This window comes from Homo sapiens, chromosome 9 (genome assembly GCF_000001405.40).
Source record: "Homo sapiens chromosome 9, GRCh38.p14 Primary Assembly".
Lineage (NCBI taxonomy): Eukaryota > Metazoa > Chordata > Mammalia > Primates > Hominidae > Homo > Homo sapiens.
In genome coordinates, this window is record NC_000009.12 from 89,091,209 (window position 1) to 89,115,060 (window position 23,852).

The window sequence follows — 23,852 nt, forward strand, 5'->3', positions numbered from 1 at the left end:
AATTTTAAAACAACAAGGAAGAATAGCAAGGAGAAATATGTTCTGCCAGATGAAAAACATGACTATAACACAACCAAAATCAGAACCAGAAGTTAATGGCACACAAACAAATGCATCAGCAGAAAACAAATGTTACCAGTGGACTGAAATTAGGTGTTCAGAAACAGAGTGTGTGGTAATTTAACATACAGTCCAATGGCATTTCAACACAGTGGGGAGATTTGGGCCTAACTGGCTATCTTATTACAGGTAAACTAAAAATCCATACATACAAAGTAAAATAAATGAAAATATTAGAAGATTAGTTTGATCTACAGTGAAGGAGATTGTCAAGACAGGAAAACTACAAGCCATAAAGGAATGGCTGATGGATGCACTCTAATAAAACATTTTTTAATATAAAATTTACCATTTTAACCATTTTTAAGTGTGCAGTTCAGTGGCATTAAGTACATTCACATTGTTGTGCAACCATTACCATTATCTGTTTCTAGAACTTTTTCATCTTCCCCAACTGAACTCTGTACCCATTAAATAATAATTCCACATAACTCCCCACTGCCTCATCTGGCCAGCCCCTGGAGACCTCTATTCTACTTTCTATCTTCATGAATTCAGCTACTGTCTAATAAACATTTTTTAAATGATATGGCAAGATATTACCAGCACATACAAAATATGCAAAAACTCCCACAAATTGATAAGAAAGTAAAGAGACTCCAATAAAAAAAATGGGTAAGTGAAGTGAACAGGTAATTCATAAGAAAGAAAATGAAACCAGACAGCACATGGATGTGAAAAAGTGTTCACATTTCTGTATGCAAAAACACTCAAAGGAAAACAATAGCAACTATTGTTTTGATGATAAAACTGGTTGATAGCAATATTAGCACTCAGTGCTGCATAGTTGTGAAGAAAGGGCCACTTTCCTAAATTGCATGTGATATGTGAATTTCAGGAGTCATCTGCAGCGGCCCACCTGTTGGAGTGTGGTTCAGCACAGAAGGGTGTAGGGACATTGAGGGTCCTCACAGCATTGTTTTGCCTAGCAAAAGAAAGCAAAACCAGGAATTGTTGACTATATTATCATACAGCCATATGATTTGCAACTATAAAAAATCAGGTTTGGCCTGGCGCAGCGGCTCACGCCTGTAATCCCAGCACTTTGGGAGGCCGAGGCAGGCAGATCATGAGGTCAGGAGATAAAGACCATCCTGGCTAACACGGTGAAACCCCATCTCTATTAAAAATACAAACAAATAGCCAGGCGTGGTGGCGGGCACCTGTAGTCCCAGCTACTCGGGAGGCTGAGGCAGGAGAATGGTGTGAACCCCAGAAGCAGAGCTTGCAGTGAGCCAAATTGCACCACTGCACTCCAGCCTGGGCAACAGGGCAAGACTCTGTCTCAAAAAAAAAAAAAAAAAAAAAAAATCAGGTTTTAGGCCCCAATCTACTGATCCATTCAAGGAAAAAGTAGATTGTGGAATGATGAAGATGGTATGATTCCCATTTCTAACACAAAAGAAGGAAGGTGTGTGTGTGTGTGTGTGTGTATGTGTGTGTGTGTGTATACCAAAAAATCTGGAAAGCTATTAACACTGGTCATCTTTATCTTTTCTTTCTATACCTTTATCTTGTTTGACTCATTATGAAAAGCATCTATTGTTTTAATTTAAAAAAATAAATCAGTTCATGTTGTTGCATGCATTGGTAGTTCATTGTAGTTCATTCCTTTTTATTGCTGGGTAGTATTTGTATCATGCACATATCAAAATGTGTTTATCTGTTCACTAGTTGATGGATAATTGGGCTGTAGTTTGAGTCCATTACAAAGAATGCTTCTATGAACATGGACATACTGTGGACATACATTTTTATTGCTGAATAGCATGGTAGATTTATCTTTAACCTTATAATAAACAGTCCACCTGTTTTCATAAGCACCTGTACAATTTCACATTCCTACCAGCAATAACACACAACACAGGTAGCCCTCAAAACCTTAAGCTAAGTGAAAGAAGCTAGACACATAAAATCTTGTACAGAATAATTCCATTTGTACAGAATTGCATAGAATGGTTCCATTTACAGGAAATTCTAGAAAAGGCAGAATAATAGTGCCAGAAAGGTCCTCAGGGAGATTTGGAAAAGGCTGCTGACTGAAAAAGGGCACAAGAGATTTTTGGGAGTGGTAGAAATGTTCTTGACTGCATGGATGAAGCAATCAAGAATCAAGAATTTGGTTACTGTCTAATAAACATCTTTAAAATGATAAGGCAAGATATTTCCAGCACATACAAAATATGCAAAAAGCTCCCACAAATTGATAAGAAAGTAGAGTCTCCAAAAAAAAAAAAAGGGTAAGTGATGTGAACAGATAATTCATAACAAAGGAAATTAAACCAGCCAGCACATAGATGTGAAAAAGTGTTCACATTTCTGGTACACAAAAGCACTCAAAGGAAAGGACAGGGGCTTGGGGGAGGGGTGTGTTACTGATGGGGTGGGGAACAGGGGCTTTCTTTGGTCTGGAATATTCTGATCTGGGTGACTATTACTTGGTGAATGCATACATAAAACTCCAATGAACAACACACTTAAGATTTGTGCACTGGTCGGGCGCGGTGGCTCATGCCTGTAATCTCAGCACTTTGGGAGGCCAAGGTGGGTGGATCACCTGAGGTCAGGAGTTTGAGACCAGCCTGGCCAATATGGTGAAACCCCATCTCTACTAAAAGTACAAAAATTAGCTGGGTGTGGTGGCAGGCACCTGTAATCCCAGCTACTCAGGAGGCTGAAGCAGGATAATTGCTTGAACCTGGGAAGCAGAGGTTGCAGTGAGCCGAGATTGCACCATTGCACTCCAGCCTAGGGTACAGAGTAAGACTCTGTCTCAAAAAAAAAAAAAAAAAGAAAAGAAAAGATTTGTGCACTCTATGAGACCTCAACAAATTCATATTTAAATCCCAAAATGAAAACAAAAACACGAGGCAGCAGGCTTGGGATGTAATTTGCTGTGTCACTAGGAGCCATTGTAGCTTTTGAAGCTAGGGAAAAATATGTTGAAAGTGATTTCAGAACAGGAATTGGCCATTTTTTCAGGAAGCCCTGGTCAGGGAAGAAGAGTTGCCCACGTTCTCAGGGGATGAATGTGAGCATCAGCCACTGGGTGAAGTGACAAGGCCTGGGAAGGCCTAAGGCTGGGTGGAAGGAAGGCAGGGGCCCAAGAAACATTTCAAAGAAGAGCACGCACAATTTGAAGATGATGACTCAATGACATGCAAAAGGTAGGAAGATTGTAGAAGTAATAACAGCCACAATTGACATTTATAGAGTGTTTACTAAGTGTCTGGCCCTTTTCTACAACTTTGCACATATTAATCTTTTAATATTGTAGGGATCATTATGATTTCCTTTTCATTAGTGGAACCTGAGACCAGAGAGGGTAAGTAGCCTGCTTGAGGTCACACAGTAGGGAGGTGGGGGTGAGACTGTTTGCAACAGAAGCCCTGCATACTGGAAGGAAGATGGTGAGGTCAGTTTGGGACGCCTGGCATTACAGTCACGAGCAAACACCCACCACTCAAGAGGAGAGCCAATGTCAACTTGCATGCCCAGGGACTTTGGGATGTAAAGCAAAACATGATTCAAGTGCAAAAGATCATTCCTGATAAAGCCATGATGCGATACCACCTCACGCCCATCAGAATGGTCACTAACAACAACAACAAAAAAAACCAACCAAACAAACAAACAAAAAACAGGAAACAACAAGTGTTGGCAAGAATGTGGAGAAATAGGAACTTGTTGGAGTATACAATTGTGCAGCCACTGTGGAAAACGGCATGGCGGTTCCTCAAAACATTAAACATATAATCGCCATATGATCCAGCAACCCCACTTCTGAGTACATACCCAAAATAAGTGATAGCAGGGACTCAAACACATACATGTACACCATGTTCATGGAAGCATTATTCACACTGGTTAAAAGGTAGAAACAACCCAAATATCCTTAACTGATGAATGGACAAACAAAATGTGGTCCATGCAGACAATGGAATATTAAAGGAAGGAAATTCTGACACGTGCTACAAGATGGATAAACCTTGAGGATATTATGCGAACAGAAATAAGTCAGTCACAAAAGGACAAATACTGTATGACTCCACTCAGATGAGGATGCTAGAGCAGTCAAATTCATAGAGACAGAACGCAGAGTGGGAGTTGCTGGATCGGGACGGGGAGGGGGAAGTGGGGAGTTGTTGTCTAATGGGGACAGAGTTTCAGTTTTGCAAAATGAAAAGTTCTGGAGATGGAGGGTGGTGATGGTTGCACAACAATGTGAATGTTCCTAATGCCACTGTGAAAAATGGTTTCAATGGTAAACTTTATGTGGTATATATTTTACCACAACTTAAAAATAAGTAGCAACTAAGTAAAAGCCAAAAAAAAACCATTATTCCCGGGAAAGCCACACACTGAGAGCTATGGGCACAGTCACAGGGCTCAGTTGCAGCCTGACACCCCCACCTCCAGGGCAGGGACAGACAAACTGACTTTCATATTGATTTTCCTCTCTTTCTTCATTCTGAGCAAAATTAGTACCTCCAGTATTCCAAATTCATCATCATTTTGCGGTGCATTTTCATGCCTGTAATGATAGAATTCCTGCCTGAGGCTATAAATAATTGAGCTAAGACACTTCCAAACCTGGATGATAACATGTTCCTCGTGGGACACCCGAGGCAGCATCCCTTAGCACTCCCTGTCCTCCGCAGCTATTAAAAGGCTCTGTGGGCGTCTGGCCACATGTCAGAAAGTGCTGCCTCAGATGTAAACAAACCACAGCTAAAAAATAATAAATAACACATAGAGAGCTATGCACATAGATTTCCAAGGAGCCAGTTCTCTTCAACTACCCGCACAAACGTTGAATACGCATGAGAGAGGCTTGTTCAGATAAAAACAAGAATTTAACCAAACATGTTAAAATTTTGCCTTCTACTAAGTAGGCATGAGATGATTGGAGATTCCTAGAAAGCCAGGAAATCCTTACTTGCTTTGGTCCCTGGGGTTCCAGGAGCCCAGAGACATGAGGCAGGCTCCATCCAATGCGCCACCAAGGGAGATCTGTGCTTTGACTCAGCTCCCACTAAACGTACAAGAGTTTACAAGCTAATTTCCATGAACACTAAGCAAATGGATTGGAGGGGTAGACAGTGATAATATTCATATATGCATACAACATACAATTAAATTAATGTATTGACATGATTGCTTAATATTACTCATAAGAGGAAAATGAAGGGCACGAGATTTTTGTATAAAGTGTGACTGCAAATATGTGCAAAATAAACTGAAAACCCCAAGCCCTCTTTTTGTACATTTCTTTGTTTTCTAAAATTTCTCTAGTGCATATGTATATATTACTTTTATAATGCAATATAATTTATTTCTAAAGAATGTAGGTTAGCGTAGCGCAGCTGTTTTAACCCCCAGCGGACATTTGGCAAAGTCTGAAGGTTGTTACAATGTTAGGGGGAGACGTGCTACTGGCATCTAGAGAGTGAAGGTCAGAGAGGCTGCTCATCATCCTAAAATGCACAGGACAGCTGGTCCCAAAGGTCGACCATGCCAAGATGGGGAAGTTAAGATTGCTTTGTTTAAACAGAAGAGAGCAAGACAGAATGGGCAGAACCTCATAAAAGTACCAGAGAGAATGTGTGATGGGAGGTAGGGACTCAATCCACGCAGGTGTTCAACTGCTTGGACCAGCCAGGGTCCACCAGAGAGGGCGCTGCAGACACCAGGTCAGGAGAGGATCTCAGCAGCGAGGAGGCCACCAGCCAGCCCTGGACACCAGTGGGCAGCGCCCAGAAGGTGCTCGCTCTCATGAAAAAAAAAAAAAAAAAAAAAAAAAAAACAAGGCCACAAGCCATCTCCTCAGAGGAGGCGGGATCAGATCCAACATCCAACAAAGTACATCTCTCTTAGCAGATATTTTAGGTATTAAAGTGCATTTAACTAAATTATAGGAAATTACACATTGGCCAATTTAATTTAATTTTCAGTGCTCAAAGGCTTTACTTCAAAAGGAACTATAAGTTCCTAATCTTTATATAACAAGTCTTCATTTCTCAAGGTTATAAGCAGTAAAATGAAAACATGAAGAGAAAGGACTTTATACAAAAGCACTGTGCCAAACAAAAGAAGCTGTGTTTTCTAAAATAAGTGACTTCCATCCTACTAAGCAGATGCAGATGTACTAATCTTCATTTTTAAAAGGCCCTGGGGGCAGAAAGGAAGGAGGAATTATCGAATATAACTTCTTCGCATGGAGTTTGTCTCAGGAGTCACATCTTCTGAGCTGGTGCTCTTAGCAGCTTGCTTCATTTTTAGTCATTCCCCTGGATTCCTGAAAATTTAAGATTTCAACAAATAATGATTGAGCACCTACTATGTGCTGGGCCAGGAGCTCCCACAGGCCTTTTCTGAGGGCTGCCTGTCACCTCTGTGGGCCACCAGAGGATGCCTCCCAGTAGGGTTCGTCAAGGAATCTCAAACCCAAGTTTGCAAAGTAATGGGGTTCAATCTCCATCGCTTTTAGACACTTTAGACTTTGTGCTTTTTCAATAATAAATAAAAAATATTAACAGCATTTAATGATGAGAAAATGCTTATGATTGATTCTAAAGGAAGAAAGATGAATCTGACATTTTCTATACAGTTGGAACACTATTATATCAAAGATGCACATAAAAATAAACCATCTTAATTAAATCATCAAAGTTGGCATCATCAATATTGGGCCACAGTGACATCATGTACCTCCATGATAATGCACTGGGAAGGACACAACAATTTCTATTGTCTCCTGCCAGGAATGCATAACCTGACACTAATCATGAGACAGCAATAGGCAAATTAAAATTGAGGGAAATTCTATAAAGTAACTAGCATGCACTCTCAAAAAATGTCAATGTCAAGAAAGACAAAGAAAGGCTAAAGAACTATTCCAGATTCAAGGAAATGAAAGAGATGTGACAACAAAATGCAATGTGTGATTCTAAACAATCCTGGAATGAGGGGAAAAAAAACCATCAATGAAGGACATTACGGGACAATTGATGAAATTTGGATTTAGACTATTAAATTAGGTAATTGTGTTCTGTCAGTGTCAAAATTCCTGACTTGATCATTGTGCTGTGAGTATGTAGGAAAATAACATTGTCCTCAGGAAATGTGCACTTAACTAGTTAGTGTTGAAGAGGTATGATGTTTCCAACTTATTCTCAAATAGTTCAGAAAAAAATTTAGGCTGGGCACATGGCTCACGCCTGTAATCCCAGCACTTTGGGAAGCCAAGGTGGGCAGATCAGTTGAGATCAGGAGATCGAGACCATCCTGGCTAACACGGTGAAACCCGGTCTCTACTAAAAATACAAAAAAATTAGCCGGGCATGGTAGCAGGCGCCTGTAGTCCCAGCTACTTGGGAGGCTGAGGCAGGAGAACAGCGTGAACCTGGGAGGCGGAGCTTGCAATGAGCTGAGATTGCGCCACTGCACTCCAGCGTGGGTGAGAATGAGACCCCATCTCAAAAAAAAAAAAAATTAACCAGGCATGGTGGTGGACACCTGTAATCTCAGCTACTCGGGAGGCTGAGGCAGAAGAATTGCTTAAACCTGGGAGGTGGAGGTTGCAGTGAGCCGACATTGTGCCACTGCACTCTAGCTTGGGCAACAAAGCAAGGCTCTGTCTCAAAATAAATAAATAAATTAATTAATTAATTAAAAAAGAAATATGCAGGATTCCTTTGTCATATTCTTATATCTTTTTAATTAGTTTAAAATCATATAGAAAGTTTGAAAATGCACAGAAACAATGAAGAAATTACAAGCTATATTCAATAGAATTGAAGTAGCAAGTGATTGTAAAATAGATTATATTTTATGTTTCACAAGTAAAGAAAAAATATAGCCAATAAGATGATGACACAACATTTTCCTATCACTTAGGCTTTTTCTTTACACTTTTAGAGAACTCTTTTAGACTTGCTAATGCATCAATTTTTATTCTATATCACTCTTTTGTACATATAAAAACAAACAGGTAAGTGAAATAAGTTAAAGTTATCCTCCAACTTCTTCACATGCCAATTTCAACACTTCTGAACCCTTTGATTCAGAATTGTTCACGTTTGTGCTTTTCTATGGAATATCATCCTCTGAGCCATCAAGAATGTAGGTGATACAGCAGCTTTTCAAAAGAATATTCCATGATTATTTCCAGTATTTTCTTCCAAGCCACTGAACCCTATCCTGCAAGCTTTAATGCTTGACCTTTCCAGAAGGGATTGGGGAAAGGACTTTGGCCAACAGTGAGGACTGTCATTCCCTGAAATGCTGGTGTACTGATCATTGACCTAATTCTGCCGACACAAACAGCTTCAAGTGTGCCCATGCCGAGGACTGACAGCAACCACACAACTGCCATGGGCCTGACAGAAGCAACTGTGAAGACACCGTGAATATAAAATGCATCCAGATTTCAGAGATATTAACATGTGAAAAGGGTGCATCTTGGAATTAAAATGTGATATTTAAAAATCTTAACAGCGTTGAGTTTGTGGATGGGAGATCATTCCAATTTTGTATCAATAAGCACATATTAATTTGTTGGTGTTTTTGTAATCAGAAAAAATGAATACATTTTGATTCACAAGACATAGTTATTTTCTCTGAATTTCATGCCTGATTTTTATCTGTGCATTTCCTATGTTTCCCATCGCACAAACTTATCCATCTATTAGTTCAGGTCTAAGGAGCTTCTCTGCTGTAGAATTCATTAATTGACCCAATAAACGTTAATTAAAAGCTCATGAGACATAAGGAAAAGCCAAACTCAGATGGTACCATCAAGGGTCTTAAAGTCCAGTCAGAAAGAGAAGGTAACACTTAGAACTGATCCAAGATGCATATTTTTTTTCATATTTTAACATTTCTGAAATCGCTGTGGGCCAGGCAGCAGTCATGAGGTAGTTACCACTTCCTGCACATATGCATCAAAGCTTGCAGAACGGGTATCATTAGTTTGAAAGAGAATTCCAAAAAGTTGAGAACTTTTTTAAGAGTCAAGTTTATTGAGGTATAATAAACCTTTTTTAGATGTTCAGTTATGAGGGTTTTTGTTGTTGTTGTTAATTTTTTGCAAAGATAGGGGTCTCACTATGTTGCGCAGGTTGGTCTCAAACTCCCGGCCTCAAGTGATCCTGCCTCAGCCTCCCAAAGTGCTGGGAGCTACCATGCCCATCCTTAGTTCTATGAATTTTGAAAAACCCATATAGTCACGTAACTATCATCAAATCAAGAGATAGAATAGTTCTTTTATCCCCAAAAGGTTTCTCCATGCCCCTTTTGTAATCAATATCACTTTTCCCCACCTCCAGATCCTAGCGACCTGTGATCTAATTTCTTTCTCTATAGTTTTACCTTTTCTAGAATGTCACATAAAGGGAATCACATAGTATGAAGCTTTTTGTATCTGGCTTCTTTTACTTGGCATAGTGTTTTTGAGATCCATCCACATTGTTGTACATATTACCTGTTTTTATTGCTTAGAATTATTTCATTTAAGTCTGTTCTTATGCTGATTCTACACTGTGAATTCTCTTTGAACTGATTTTCAAAATTCTTTTGTTGGTTATTCTAGATTTAAGATTCAGCTTGTCAATTTCTACAAAAAGCCTACTGGTACTTTTACTGGAATTGTGTTAAATCTATAAATCAATTTGGAAAGGTTTTGACATTTTAACAATACTGAGTCTTTAGTCTATGAACACGGTATATCTGTCCATTTATTTAGCTCTTTAATTTTTCTCATCAATGTTCAATAGTTCTTAGCATATAAATCTTACACATATTTTGTTAAATGTAACACTAAAATATTTTATGTTTTTATGCTATTGTAAATGGTTAGTTTTTAATTTTATTTTCCAATTGACCTTTGTTAGTACATAGAAATGCAATTGATATTTGTATTTTGACATTGTATCCTACAACCTTGCTAAACTCACTTATTCTAATAGCTTTCATGTAGATTTGTCAGGATTTTCTATGTAGATGTCCATGTTATATGAAAAAAAAGATACTTTTACTTCTTGTCTAATTTGAATGGCTTTTATTTTTTTCTTGCCTTATTGCATTGACTTGCCTTGTTCTTGATCTTAAAAGTATTCGGTTTTTACCATTAACTATGATATTGACTGTACATTTTTAGTGGATGCCCTGTTATCAGATTGAGGAACTTTCCTTCTATTCCTAGTGTGTTGACAGTTTTTATAATGAATGTATGTTGAATTTTGTCAAAGGCTTTTCTGTATCTGTTGAGATTTTCATATATATATATATATTTTTTTTAATTTGCCAATATGGGGAATTACACTGATTTTTTTTAATGTTGACTCAACCTTACAATCCTTGGAAAACCCCTACAGGGTATAATGCATTATTTTCTTTTTGACATATCGCTTGATCCAATTTGTTTATATGTTGTTAGGGTTTGTGTCTAGGTTCATAAATTTTCTTTTCTTGTAATGCCTTTGTCTGGTTTGGGTATCAGGATAATACTGCCTCTAAAATAAACTGGAAAGTGTTCCCTCCTATATTCTGGAAAAGATTGTGGAGAATTGATGTTATTTTTTCCTTAAATGTTTGGTAGCATTCACTAGTGGTCCTGACCCTGGAGTTTTCTCTCTAAAAATATTTTTACAATCATTTAATTTATTTAATAGATACAGGCCTATTCAGATTATCTCTTTTTTTCTTTAGCAAACATTAGTAGTTGTATCTTTCAAAGAATTTGTTCATTTCATCTAAGTTGTTAAATTCATTAGCATCAAGTTTAACCTAATGCCCCTTATTATTCTCTCAGTGTCTACAGCATCTAAAAGGATGATGGCCTCTCCTTTGTTCCTGATATTGGTCATTTGAACTTCTCTCTCTCTTTTTGATCCCTCTAACTAGCAGTTTATCATGGCATTGATCTTTTTAAAAACCACCTTTGGTTTTCAATATTTCCTCTATCTTTTTTCAGATTCCAAATTTATTCATTTCCAATGCTCTTCAAATGACTTAATGGACAATAAAACTTATGAAAAAAACAGATGGTAATGACTCTGGATCAAGGAATGAGTCTGTATATTCAGACTCTGAATTTGAAGAAAATTTTAGGAATACCTTTTTTATATTGCTTGTATTTTCCTTTTAAGAGATATGCAAGTGTTATAATGATATGTCTGTGTCTGTAATAACCCAAAATAGCGTTTTCAATATATATGAACTGATTCTAAGTGATATGAAAGCATTGTGTCATATTTTAATTGGCAGGTTTTTTTTGTAGTTGTAAAATAATGAAGTGTTTAACAGCAGATGATACAGTATGTCCCCACTTAATGTCATGTATAGGTTCTTGGAAACTTTGGCTTTAAGCTAAACAATGTACAGCAAAGTCATTTCATTATACCATTGGTGAGAAAAAAACATTGGTTTTGTTATATGCCATTTCACTTAAAGTTGCAGTTTCCAAAAACCCATTGATGATGTTAAGTGAGGACTTACTGTCTTTAGAAGTAGATGAAAAATGGTCTGTGTCTTTAAAAGTTCAATATGATGTGCAATGAAATCAAAGTCTCCAGATGAATACGAACATAGTGGCCTTGTAGCTCAGGACAAAAGTAAATCCAACTGTGGCTCAATATTTAGCCTGGAGGGTGATGGTGGGGCATGGACTGTGGACCAGGAGAATGGACAGCAGGAATTCAGTGTGGAGGATATGCTGAATGGAAGTTGGGAGGAATGTTTGGAAAGGTGTGCTGCAGCCAGGCAAGCGGAACTTAACGATGAATGCTAAGAAAGTTTTCATTTGTTCAGCAAAGAATGGATAAGCAACGATGTTTAATAGGGAGTCATATGTTTGAGGCACGTTAACCTATTCACAAGAACAAAGGAAACTGAAGGAGAGAGAGAGACGGGAAAAAGAGAAATGACAAGGGAGCTTCTGAGGGAGAATCAACAGGTATTCGTAATTGAACAGGGAGAAAGATGAGATGAAACCAACTCCAAGCTTTTGAGTTTGGGAGACCACGTGGATTGCAGTTACAAGAAGAATTCAGAGATGGGAGCCGAGCCTGACCCCAGTAATGGAGGGGAGAATGGGTGAAGTTATGAGAAGTAATGTTGCAGAGCCAGGACTCAGGACTCAGCAGCTGCTTGGCTACCTCCAAAAAGACATGTCCAGGAGGCTAGGCTACTATAGCCCAGGCCTGGACCTTAAGAGAAAATCCGGATGTGGAGATAGAGATTTGTGACTTATATACCTGGAAGTGTTGTTTGAAGCAATGAGATTATCAATACGGAGAGCATAAAATAAAAATGAGAATATCAGTATTTGTCAACATGTTTGAGCTCTTGCATTTCCTAGGCAGCATGTTAAATGCTTTTCAGATATTAGCTCAATTAATTCTCAGCCCTATGATGGAGATGCCATTGTGAATCCCATTTTAAACATGGGGGAACTGAGAAACAGAGGACTTAAGTCATGTGCACAAGGTCACATTGCTGGAAAACTGTGGATCCTAGACAAAAACCCAGATAGTCAGACTCTAAACCTACTACCAGAGGCTGCCTCTGTCAGGAGCAAAGGGATCCCTATGGAATGATATGTTTGGGTGATAAGTGAACTCAGAGGAAAAGACAGAAAAGGAGCAATCAGAGAGGTACATTTTGACACAAATGTGCTTCTGGCATGAGGATTATAAAAATGCACCATGCCAGATGGTTCTCAAGGAGAGTAGGGGAATGAACACCACGGATTCATTTTATGGATTCTATTTAAACCATTCTCAGTCACCAAGTCATCTATGTTCTCCATTTTTAAAATTTCTGGATGAGTGGGATCAATTGAAAAAAAAAATAAACAGACTCGTTTTCAAAGCTGTGGTTTCATAGATGGTAGCTGCAAATGGTTCCAAAGTTAAAAATAGAACTCTTAAATACTGGTTCTCAAACTGGGGTACCTGGATGGGCAGCATGAGCAACCCCTGAAAACTTTTTGGAAGTTCACATTCTCACACCCCACCTCTGACTTACTGAATCACAAAACTCTGTGGGGTCGGCTCAGCAATCTGTGTTGTAACTAACTCTGCAGGTGATTTTGATGTATGTATGCTCCAGTCCAAGAACCACTATTCTAAAAAATGAAATGATTTAAGTATGTGTAGCAAATCTTTGAGGGCCTTGTGCCAAGTCAGAGTGCCCACAGAATACAGACCAGCTCTGTGGCCCCTCTGCAACCAACCTGATGGATTCTTAAAGGAATTTGTGCTGCAGCGGAGCCCACATTAGGTGAGAAGTGCTTTCCCACTGCTGTGATGACAGAGATCTTCTGTACTTTGCTGTCACCACCTTGAGCTAGGTAGCAGGACCACCTTGGGGGTCGCCCATTTCATCCCCACACCAAGCCCATCCTTCCTCAGTTTATCTATCCTCTCACCCTCCAATCCAACCTTTCCCCACCCCATCCCACCCTTCATTTGCTATTTGAGGTAGTGAGGGCCTTATGTTTTCTATAAATTATTCATATTCAATTTTTAAAGAAGATTTCTATGTTGTTACATATCCTTTTACTATTTGGGGAAATTCAACTAAGAGTTTCTGAAGCACAGAAAGGAGGGACGTCGCCATGCCCGGGATGAGCACAGTCAGGTGAATGCAGGCAGTGCAGTCTTCACAGAGGCAATGCTGCCCCTACAGCTGACCCTTCTTACATGCACTTGCCCACTGCATCCCAGCCGACTGCAAGTGCCTCTCACAGACTCTAACCTTACACTCATTTTCTTTGTACCCTGCTCAAGACCATCACACCACAGTGGTCAGCAAATCCATCTTGATGGTCTTGTAATGATGCCCCTCTGTACTTGTGGGGTTTGCCAGTCCTCCTGCCTTTCTGAAGGATGTGAGCCCCCTTACTCAAGCAGCAGTATAACTGCTACTCCTGACTGTAGTCTCTGGGTTCAGACTGTTCTAGCTCAAATCTTGACTTTGCCCTTTCCTAGCTATCTGGTCTCAGACAATTTGCATAAACTTTCGGATCCTGTATCCTCATCCCCAAAATACACACAATCTGCCTCCCAAGGTTACTGAGAAAAGACCACACACACCCTCATCGCTATCTGAAATTACCGTGCTGAACTATATAAAATTGCTGATACTGGATCATTTCATCTATAAAAATGGCATGTTCATATGGTTCACCTTGATATCCTACTTATGTATATGTTTGTGTATTTCCCTCTCCCCATAACAGAAGGTAAGCACTTACTTAGTGTTTTATCTTCAATATCTAAACAGTGACTAGACATGGTATGTGTTTGATAAATATTTGTTGAATGTATGAATGACACCTTAGTGCAGTGTCTGGAGCAGGGTAAGTATTCTATCCTAGTGTCATCCTCATCATCATCATTAGAATTAGTAAAGCAGAAACACAGAATGAAATACTAGACAATATCAGCTCAAGTGAAAATTAATGCCACATCACCACATATTTTCAATAACTTCAGTTTGTTGCATCAAACCAATCTTTCCCTTCAGTTAGAAAAAACACCCTGGAATGAATTGGTAGATATTAATAATAACAATACCAATCAGCAACTGATATTATTATACACAGAATTTTATCAGGAGTGAGTAGCAAAAGGATATTCATGGTAATAACCCCATGCAGATTTATTGAACATCCACTATGTGCCAGGTGCAGCCACAGCACTTTCAGGTCTCATTTCTATGTCTCTCAACAAGCCTCGAAGCAGGGGTGTCATGCATGTTCTCTGGATGAGGACCCCAGCCCTAGAGAGGTCAATCTCATTGGTGGAATGAGTGTCTCTGCTGAGTATTAGTGTGGGCTGGTACCCAGGAACCCTTTCCTCATCCCCTAAGAGTAGGAAGCTCACCCTACATCAACAGGCTCTGCTCCAAGGGGTCAGGAGTTTGCTGTCCAAAGACTGGACCAGGCAGCTGTTCAGAGGTGCCTCAACCAAAAAATCTAATTTAGAGAGTCAGACATGGGAGCCAAGTGCTCTGACACTGTGTGGCTCCAGCCAGCGCTGTCGCCTGGCAGGCCCTGACACTCTGAGCCACATGGACAGTCCCGTAAATGCTGCCATGCTCCTGGGAGTGCCTGCATCTAGTCTCCGCCCCTTCAGTGGTGGCTTCTCCAGCTTTCTCAGCCCACACAGGGCAGCCTGGAGGAGCAGGGGACTGTCCTTCAGTAGTGAGGGGAGGCAGTCGGTGAGCAGACATCCTAGCTTCCCCAGTTCCTACGCACTTCCCCAAAGGGCCCAGCGCCCACAGCGGGACCCTGCTCCAGATGGTCCTGGGGGTGGTTCTCCCTTCCTACTGGCTGTGCCCACCCCTGCCACTGCTCCCTAGGTATCCTCCCAAATAGCCTCCTGGCACCAAGTCTCAGGGGCTGCTGGGGGAATGCAACTGAAGATACCTTCGGTCTAACCAAGAAAACGGCTTGTGGGTCCCTTCCCTTCACCACAGCTGGATCAGACATTTCCACAGTGATGTCTGTTTAACCTCACAAATGAAAAATAAACCTACTAGATGCATTATGGTTGAGGGACTGAACACGAAAATAGAGCAGAATGAGGCCTGGAGGAAGCAGAGCCCCAATCCCTGTTTCAGGGCTCTGCTGGTGTTCTAACGGCAGGAAGGCTCCAGCCTAATGGGTTCAGACTGTCTCCATGGTCCTTCGCTGAGCCTCACTCAGGTCCCTACTCTTTGGCAAGCATTAGAACTGCTGCACAGAGTTGGACCAGCTAAGGGACTGTCAGGAGTGACCACTTACATTCCAGTCACCCTGATGGGCTGGCTGGAGAACTCGGCCCAAGTCGTACACCTGCCATATTGTTGAGGAAGAAATTCACTCTGGCTTAAGTGCTCCCTCCCTCCTCTGGGAAGTCTCCCAGGCCGCAAGGACCCTCTTCCATGTTTCTGGGGTAGTATCCCATGACTGCAGTAAGTATGTGGCCCCTTGCCCTGTGACTCTGGGCTCCTTTCCTGGGTTGTGGTCCCTGAGGACTCATAATCCCTGCACCCCTATGTCTAATGCATTTTTGCACACAAATGCCCATGAAGCCAACACGAGGGTACAGTATTATTCTAGCTGGTGTTAAAATCAGAGTAATAGTGCAGAAGTGAAGTGGAGGCATCCAGCCTACTTTATTCCAAAGGCGGGATGCACATGCACACAGGCAAGCTGGTGTTTTCAAAAAGGACTCTAAACCAGGACAGCATCAACCCCTTCCTGCCAGGCCTCACCCCTCTGCAGGTGCAGGCTGAGAGAGGCTTGGCCATGAAACATGTTTAGAATAAGCACATTTAGTAAGAGCCTGTAAGGCTAAAATCCAAAAGCTAGCCATTCTGCACCACCCAAATGCACAGGGATCAGGGTTGGGGGTGGGGTGGGGTGGTAGGTAATTCACATGACTGCTCTCTGTTCTAATTCCGAAATTCAACCAGCCTCAGAGAATCTACAAAAATAGATTCACTCTTTTCCCTTTCCCTGGCATGTTTAATTTAAATCAACATTAAAGGTATTTATTTTGCAGTGAAAAAGGAATTCTGAAATATCATAATCAAGTACATGTACCACATAAACATTTCAGTCAATGATGAGCCAACTACATCAAGGTGGTCCCATGAGTATAATAGTGTATTTTCACTCTACCTTTTCTATGCTCGCATATGACAGATACACAAATACTTACCATTGTGTTCCAATTGCCTACAGAATTTGGTACGTCACACATGCAGTGCAGGTTTGTAGCCTAGGAGCAATAGGCTATGCTATATAGCCTAGGTGTGCAGTAGGTGAGAGCATCTAGCCTAAGTGCACTCTACGATGTTCACACAATGACAAAATTGTCTAATGACGCATCTCTCAGAACTATCCCTGGCCAGACACGGTGGCTCATGCCTGTAATCCCAGCACTTTGGGAGGCTGAGGTGAATGGATCACTTGAGCCCAGGAGTTAGAGAGCAGCCTGGTCAACATGGCAAAACCCCACCTCTACCAAAAAAAAAAAAATACAAAAATTAGCTGGACATGGTGGCATGCACCTGTGGTCCCAGCTACTCAGGAGGCTGAGGTGGGAGGATCACTTGAGCCTGGGAGGCAGAGGTTGCAGTGAACCAAGATTGCACCATTGCATTCCAGGCTAGACGACAGGAGTGAAACACTGTCTCAAAAAAAATGCATATACATACACACACACACACACACACATACACACATACACACCTATCCCTGATGCATGACTGAAGTCTAATTTAAGATTAATTGAAATCTAATTTACGGATAAGATTTCTTATCAGATCTAAGGAAGCCCATGAATAAAAGTCTACATTGATTTCTTTACCCTGCACCAGTTGTAAAAACATCTTAGCATGGTTTATACAATGGATTTCCAAATATGAGACTCTTCAGAGTTACATCCCAGTGTTTGCAAAAATGAGAAAGTCGCCCTAACACTAACAGAATGCCCTTCATTAGCATAGAACAGCTGCAGCCAATTCATGTCCACTTAGTAGAGTTCGTGCTAACCACTCTCAAAGAAGAAATTATTACCAAAAAATCTGAACAAAAAATATTCAGATCCCACTGCCCTGCATCTGGGAATACACATCATTTAACTGGGCAGTTGTAATAGAACCTTCAAAGCATTCCTCGACTTCTGACATTCTCTGAGGTTCCAAGGAGGCCTGACCTTACCTGCCCTTCTTCCTCAATGTCCATCTTCCACTCCACACAGCTTCTCTCAGCCTGGGCCAGGTCCTGGGGATAGGAAATCCTCTACAAACAACATAAATATCTTGTTAGTAAATGCAGCCTGTCTTAATACTGCACAATATGCATTGTTTCCATCCCCAAATGAACTTGTGATTAAAGGTCCATGCAACCCAGAAATGTCTGAAGAGAGAGGTAGAGGGGTCGCAGAGGATGCATGGGTGAAGGGGGTCCCTCCTCCGGTCATGGTGCCCAGCATGCAGTCTGGTTGGCCCCTCCCTTTCAGGAAGTCCAGCGAGGGTGCACACCCAGGCTCATGCACACAGAATACATACATAGAGTTGGGACGGAATGTACATGGATAAGGGTGCTCAGAGACATGATGGAGTGAAAGGATTGTGTGGTGAAAGTTTTTACCTTGGACTTTTGTTTTCTGAGAGCATTTATAGAATGTTGGAAGCCAGAAGTGACCTGAGAGCTGAGTTTTGCCAAGCCTTCCAAGTGAACTCTTAGAAGAGAAGAGAGGGTGGACGCAGTTGCGAAGCTGTGCTGAGATCTTGTCTGGCCTGCTCTCCTTCAAGGTGAAGATGAAACCCACTGTGCCAAGGGTTGGTGAGGAGACCACCCCCATGCACTCCAGGTTGTGATTCTCACCAACATCTTCAGGCATCTCCAGGCTCCTGCTCCCTTCTTCATCTCACCAGGGCTTGTTTGCTCTTTTGTTCAGACTCAAAGCCATGCTGAATGCTTAACACTCATACCAAGATCACATGATTACTCAGCTAACTTCTAAGCAAAGTCTCTCCCATGAAACATCCAACAGAAAAGTATGCAATTTCATAGCATTCAGTCCACTCATGCACTGACAGCTGACCTGCATGTTCCTTCATTTATACCTATGCCTCATTGTTTTATTAAGGTAAGCAAGCAACACTCTGAACTGCAATATACACATACACTGACATGAGTGATAAATTTCTCCTCAGAACCCAGCCAATACACTGAAAAAGAACAAAAAGGAAACACCTTTCCAAAAGAAAGATGTTTTCCTTTCACAAGTTTGATTTGGCTTTCAAACTAAGAAGATTTTATACATATTCCTGGGGAGTTTTCAAATCACCTCAATTCTGAAGTGGAGTCCTCACATTTGTGTATACAAAGTGAAATGCTGGGAGTGAAGCCCAGCCGTAGGGGCAAAATTTTAAATTAAACAGATAATTAGGGATTAATTATCTGCTTATAAAAATATTTTTTAATAAAAGGTGTGACTGGAGTGCCTTTGGAAACCAGTTTTCCTGGTGCCTGTATAATATAACTTAATTAGGACATTAGATTTCCCTATAAACTTCCAAGAATTTCTTTAGTATATAAAGTAAACCATGGCAGTGGAGTTTAATCACAGGTATGTTGAACACTTAGTTACCATGGAGACCTTAAAAGCTCCACAGTGTGCTACATCTGCAAGACATTGCTGTGTATTCTTCAACTGGATGCAAAGTGCTTCATTCTGAAGTTGATTTGTCAAATTGTTTCCTTTGAGTGACCTCCAGCTATTAGCTAAAGTAAGAAACATGTCACCTACTGAAAATGATGCAAGAGACAGAAAGCATCATGGAGACGAGCAAATTTAGCTTTCAAGAGGTCTAATAAAACCCAAGGCAATTCTGGCACAATTAGAATTCAACACCAAATTTCTTAAGTACAAGAATAATGCTCCACTTGTCCCATTATGCTGCTTCACCTTCCCAAAAATCTAAATGGAATGGGATTGAAGAAAGACATCAAAACCTCCAAACCCATCAGTGTCTGTTCCAACTGCTTTCTTCTACAATGTTATTATTACTTCTGTCCATTTGGGTTCTACCACAGAGAGTCCCAGGAGTTGTATCCTCATCAAAGAGCAAACTGTAATTATTCACTTGTTCCCCCACCCCACCACTACCCCAAGGAGCAGGACTTGTTCTGTGCCCCTCAAATGCCCCTCAATCATTTATGTATACACCTTTCTCCAACACTGAGAGGCCTAGCAAAGCCGGAGAGTCACGTTGTCCAGTGTGTTGTGTGTGCACAATCAGCAGTAGATGCTTAATAATTACATCAGGAGAACTAAAATGGCATGAAATCACCTCAGAAATCCTAGCATCTAGAAAGGAAACCCAGTAGGAATGGTTGACAGTTCTCTCCCAATTGACTGTCATTCCTTTAAAAACTATCACCACACAGGAGAACATGACCAATTTCACACAGTTCCCATATTCCTCCAGTCACTGGCACAGTGTTCTGCCCACCGTGATGCCACTGGCATACCTTTTCATGGGTAAGGTGAATAAATGACTGACTAAGAAACACTCAAGCTTTTCTTTTAACCACAGTGCTGTCTATTCAAAACATCATTCCATTGTCTTTGAAATGTTCATGAACCATTTTCTACAAATATGTGGAGGTGGATTCCTTCCTTCAGGTAGATTACTGATGTTGGTACATTCACAACTTACATGTCTCAAGGCACTTAGGAAAGAGAAAAAAAAAAAACAAAACATTAACTCTTTGACCATGAATTTCTTCAGTGAGGAGGAAGAGGTATTATTATGGTACCTATAACAGAATTGAGGTGTGTATGTTTCTTAGCAGCTAATGACTAAACCAGTTGCTTTCTAAAGCTCAATCTTTAGACTTGGTTTGCTAATCCAAACATATACAATAGAATGATTTGAATCAAGTAAATATGAGGCATTTTTCTGAGGTGACTATTTAAATTAAGCTACTGCATAAGTACCAAATGAACCTAAGCTCCTTGACCACAGAAATGTAGCAGTTTCACAGACTCTGTCCTAGCTTTCCAATTCTCCTCTTCAAGCTGGCTTGAAACTGGCATTTTTCTAAAGGTGTAAGCTCTACTGGGAGCTATATTAGAGTATAAGATTTTATTTTTAAAAAACCAGTGCTTAAATACTGCCCCTGAAGAAGTTTTGATTCTACTTGGTGGTGGAGAATATACAAAACCTGTTCAAAGTCACAGACACCTTAAAGAATTGGTCTGCTTGCTGAATGACCTACTCCCATGGCTGTTTCTGCTTCCAATTCTATGCATCTTACTCTCTGTGTATACTGTTGGAAAGTCTCTCTTGACATCTTGATTTTCTTTTTTAAAAAGAACATGGTTCAGTACATTTTAAAATACCAATCTTGTGTTAGAGTTTCACACATTAAAGAAACAAACATAAATACTCAGCTGCTCCATATGTCTGCAGCTAAATTATAAAAAGAGCGTGCAAGGGCAGAGTGTCCTTCAAGGTACTTTGGTTGAGAGATATACATCACAAACATGGACTAACAAGCACATGTCTTGAGATGAGGACAGTACTGACTCACTGTCACCAGCCACTAACCCTCCAAGGGCCGGTCTTTTCTTCTAAAAATGTGTCAGCTGTTAATCTCTGAGATCCTTCCTTCAGAAGTAAAATCACAGGAGTCCATTTTCAAGAGGGCTTACCTGGTAATTTGTGTTCTTGTACTGAAGTCAAGAGACCTCATTGAGCGCAGAACTTCAATGCACCCCAAGTACTGCAAGGGGAAAAAATGTAAATCGTGAGCCCTGAGATTTGAGATAAAGAGACAACTCCTAACTATACAAGGGCATTTTTGGGAGCCATACACATTTCTTAAATCACATTTTAACTTTAAATTCTAGGGTGAGGCTTTGTTTTGTTTCTATAAAAGCAATAACTCACAGCCACAAGAAAATATCATGAGTGGTTAGATTGGCACTACACTGGATTTTTCTAAAACCTGTTAGTATTTTCATCTTATTTGGATGTACACTTTTTAAAGTTTTTATGGAAGTATAACTTATATACTGTGAAATCCAGGGATCTTAAATGTTTAATTCAATGATTGTTTAAACATATATTTGCCATGAAACCACCACCCAGACCTCAACATTGCATTTCTAGTCTTTTACGAGGCTTCTACAGGTTTACAATTTTTAGAGAAAGAATGAAAACATGATATGACCAACATTTTCATCAACATTAAATGTCATTATCTGATAAATATATTTTGGGTTCTATGAACTATAGATTACCCTCAAAGGTGATTTACTTTGGTTTACCAGATCTTCTGCATGATCATAAATTTTTAGAAGCTCAGATTTATACATCTAAATGCATAGCTAAATTTTGATCAGTTTCACACATGAAAATGTATATGTGTAAGTATATGGACATAGCTAAAGTTATGGATAAAGAGCTAGATCCAATAGTTATGTTCCAAAGCCTTTGGGGAGTTTGAAGATACAGATGTTTTAGATAAATGCCTTAGATTTAGCAGAAGGAGATCTCATGGTATGGTACAGAAAAAACTGCATTTGGTGAACCGAGATCATGCCACTGCACTACAGCCTGGGCGACAGAGCGAGACTCCATCTCAAAAAAGAAAAAAAGAAAAAACTGCATTTGAATTATTTAGAAAATGTGAATTGGAGGCTGGCTTTGTCATATCTTCTTATAACTTTAAATTTATCTGAGCCTGTCTATACACCCATAAATGTGATTATTACTCCCACCATTGCACCACCACCAATATCACTATTGTCACTAAGATATGTGAAGACCACAACAAACTTTGCAGACTCGGGGGATTACCATACCTAACACCATTAGAGTTATATGACTACCACAAAAACATCATCATGGAATTACTTGAATACCTCAACCACTGTGGCAGCATTAAGAGAATACCACTACCAAGGCAGATATTTGAATAGCACCACTACCATCACAGTTATGTGAATTCCATGACCAATGTCAGAGAAATATGAATTAGGCTACCATCAACATTGCAGAGTTATGTGATTACAACAACCAACATCACAGGTTCATGTGAATAATAGGACCAATGTCACAGAGTTATGTGAATACCACCAGCATCAAAGCCACAGAATTATCCAAACACCAAAGCCACCATTGCAGAGTTACGTGAAAACCACCACCTATGTCACAAAGTTATATGAATACTACAACTGACAACAGAGTTATGTGAATACCATGAACATCAATGTCATAGAATTGTGGGAATACGGGAATACCACCACCACCATGCTGTTCCAGAATTATGAGAATTATGAAGATACCACAAAAAAACCAACGTGGCAGAGTTACACGAACACTACCACTATCATTGTGGAATTACGTAAATATCATGCCAATGCCATAGAGTTATTTGAAAACTATGAACAATTCAGAGTTATGTTAACACTACCACCATTATTACAGAGTTTTGAAAATACCTGTCCCCCCATGGACGTATACAGTTAGCCCTACATGTGTGCAGGTCCCACATTCACAGATTCAACAAACTGTGGATTGAAAATAGAAAAAAAAACAATAAAAGTAGTGCAAATAAACAATATAGTAACAACTATTTACATAGCATTTATATTATATTAGGTATCGTAAATAATCTAGAGAGGATTCAAAGTATAAAGGAGGCTGTGCACAGGCTACATGTAAATACTATACCATATTATATAAGAGATCTGAGCATCTATGGATTTTGGTATCCTAGAGGGTCCTGAAACCACTCTGTGGATGCTAGGTGATGAGTATATTTATATAAATAACATGACTAGAGTCACAGAATTATGCAAATACTCCATCCATTATTACAGAGTTAAGTGAAAACTATGACCAATGTTGCAGAGTTATATAAATACCCCCACCATTGTTGCAGAGTTATGATTTGCAACCTCATCCACAATTACATGTTTATAAGACTACCACCAGCAGCAACACTGCAGTTATGTGAATATAATCCCCACCAGTATCATAAAGTTAGGTGAATACCACTACCACTGATGTCGCAGCGTGATATGAATGCCACGTTCAACATGACAGAGCTATGTAAATAGGCAACCAATGACACAGTTATGGGAATACCAACAACACTACTGTCACAGGGTTATGTGACTCGCACAACCAAGTCACAGGGTTATTTGAAT

At 40.1% G+C, this 23,852-nt stretch overlaps 1 protein-coding gene across 1 annotated transcript in view; it reads right to left on the reverse strand.

Moving 5' to 3' along the window:
* SHC3 (SHC adaptor protein 3) overlaps positions 1-23,852 on the reverse strand; it is a 173,048-nt gene that overhangs the window by 85,438 nt on the left and 63,758 nt on the right. The window contains exon 2 of the mRNA NM_016848.6: positions 21,348-21,418. Coding sequence (NP_058544.3) covers positions 21,348-21,418 — 71 coding nt within the window. The remainder of the gene's footprint in view (positions 1-21,347; positions 21,419-23,852) is intronic.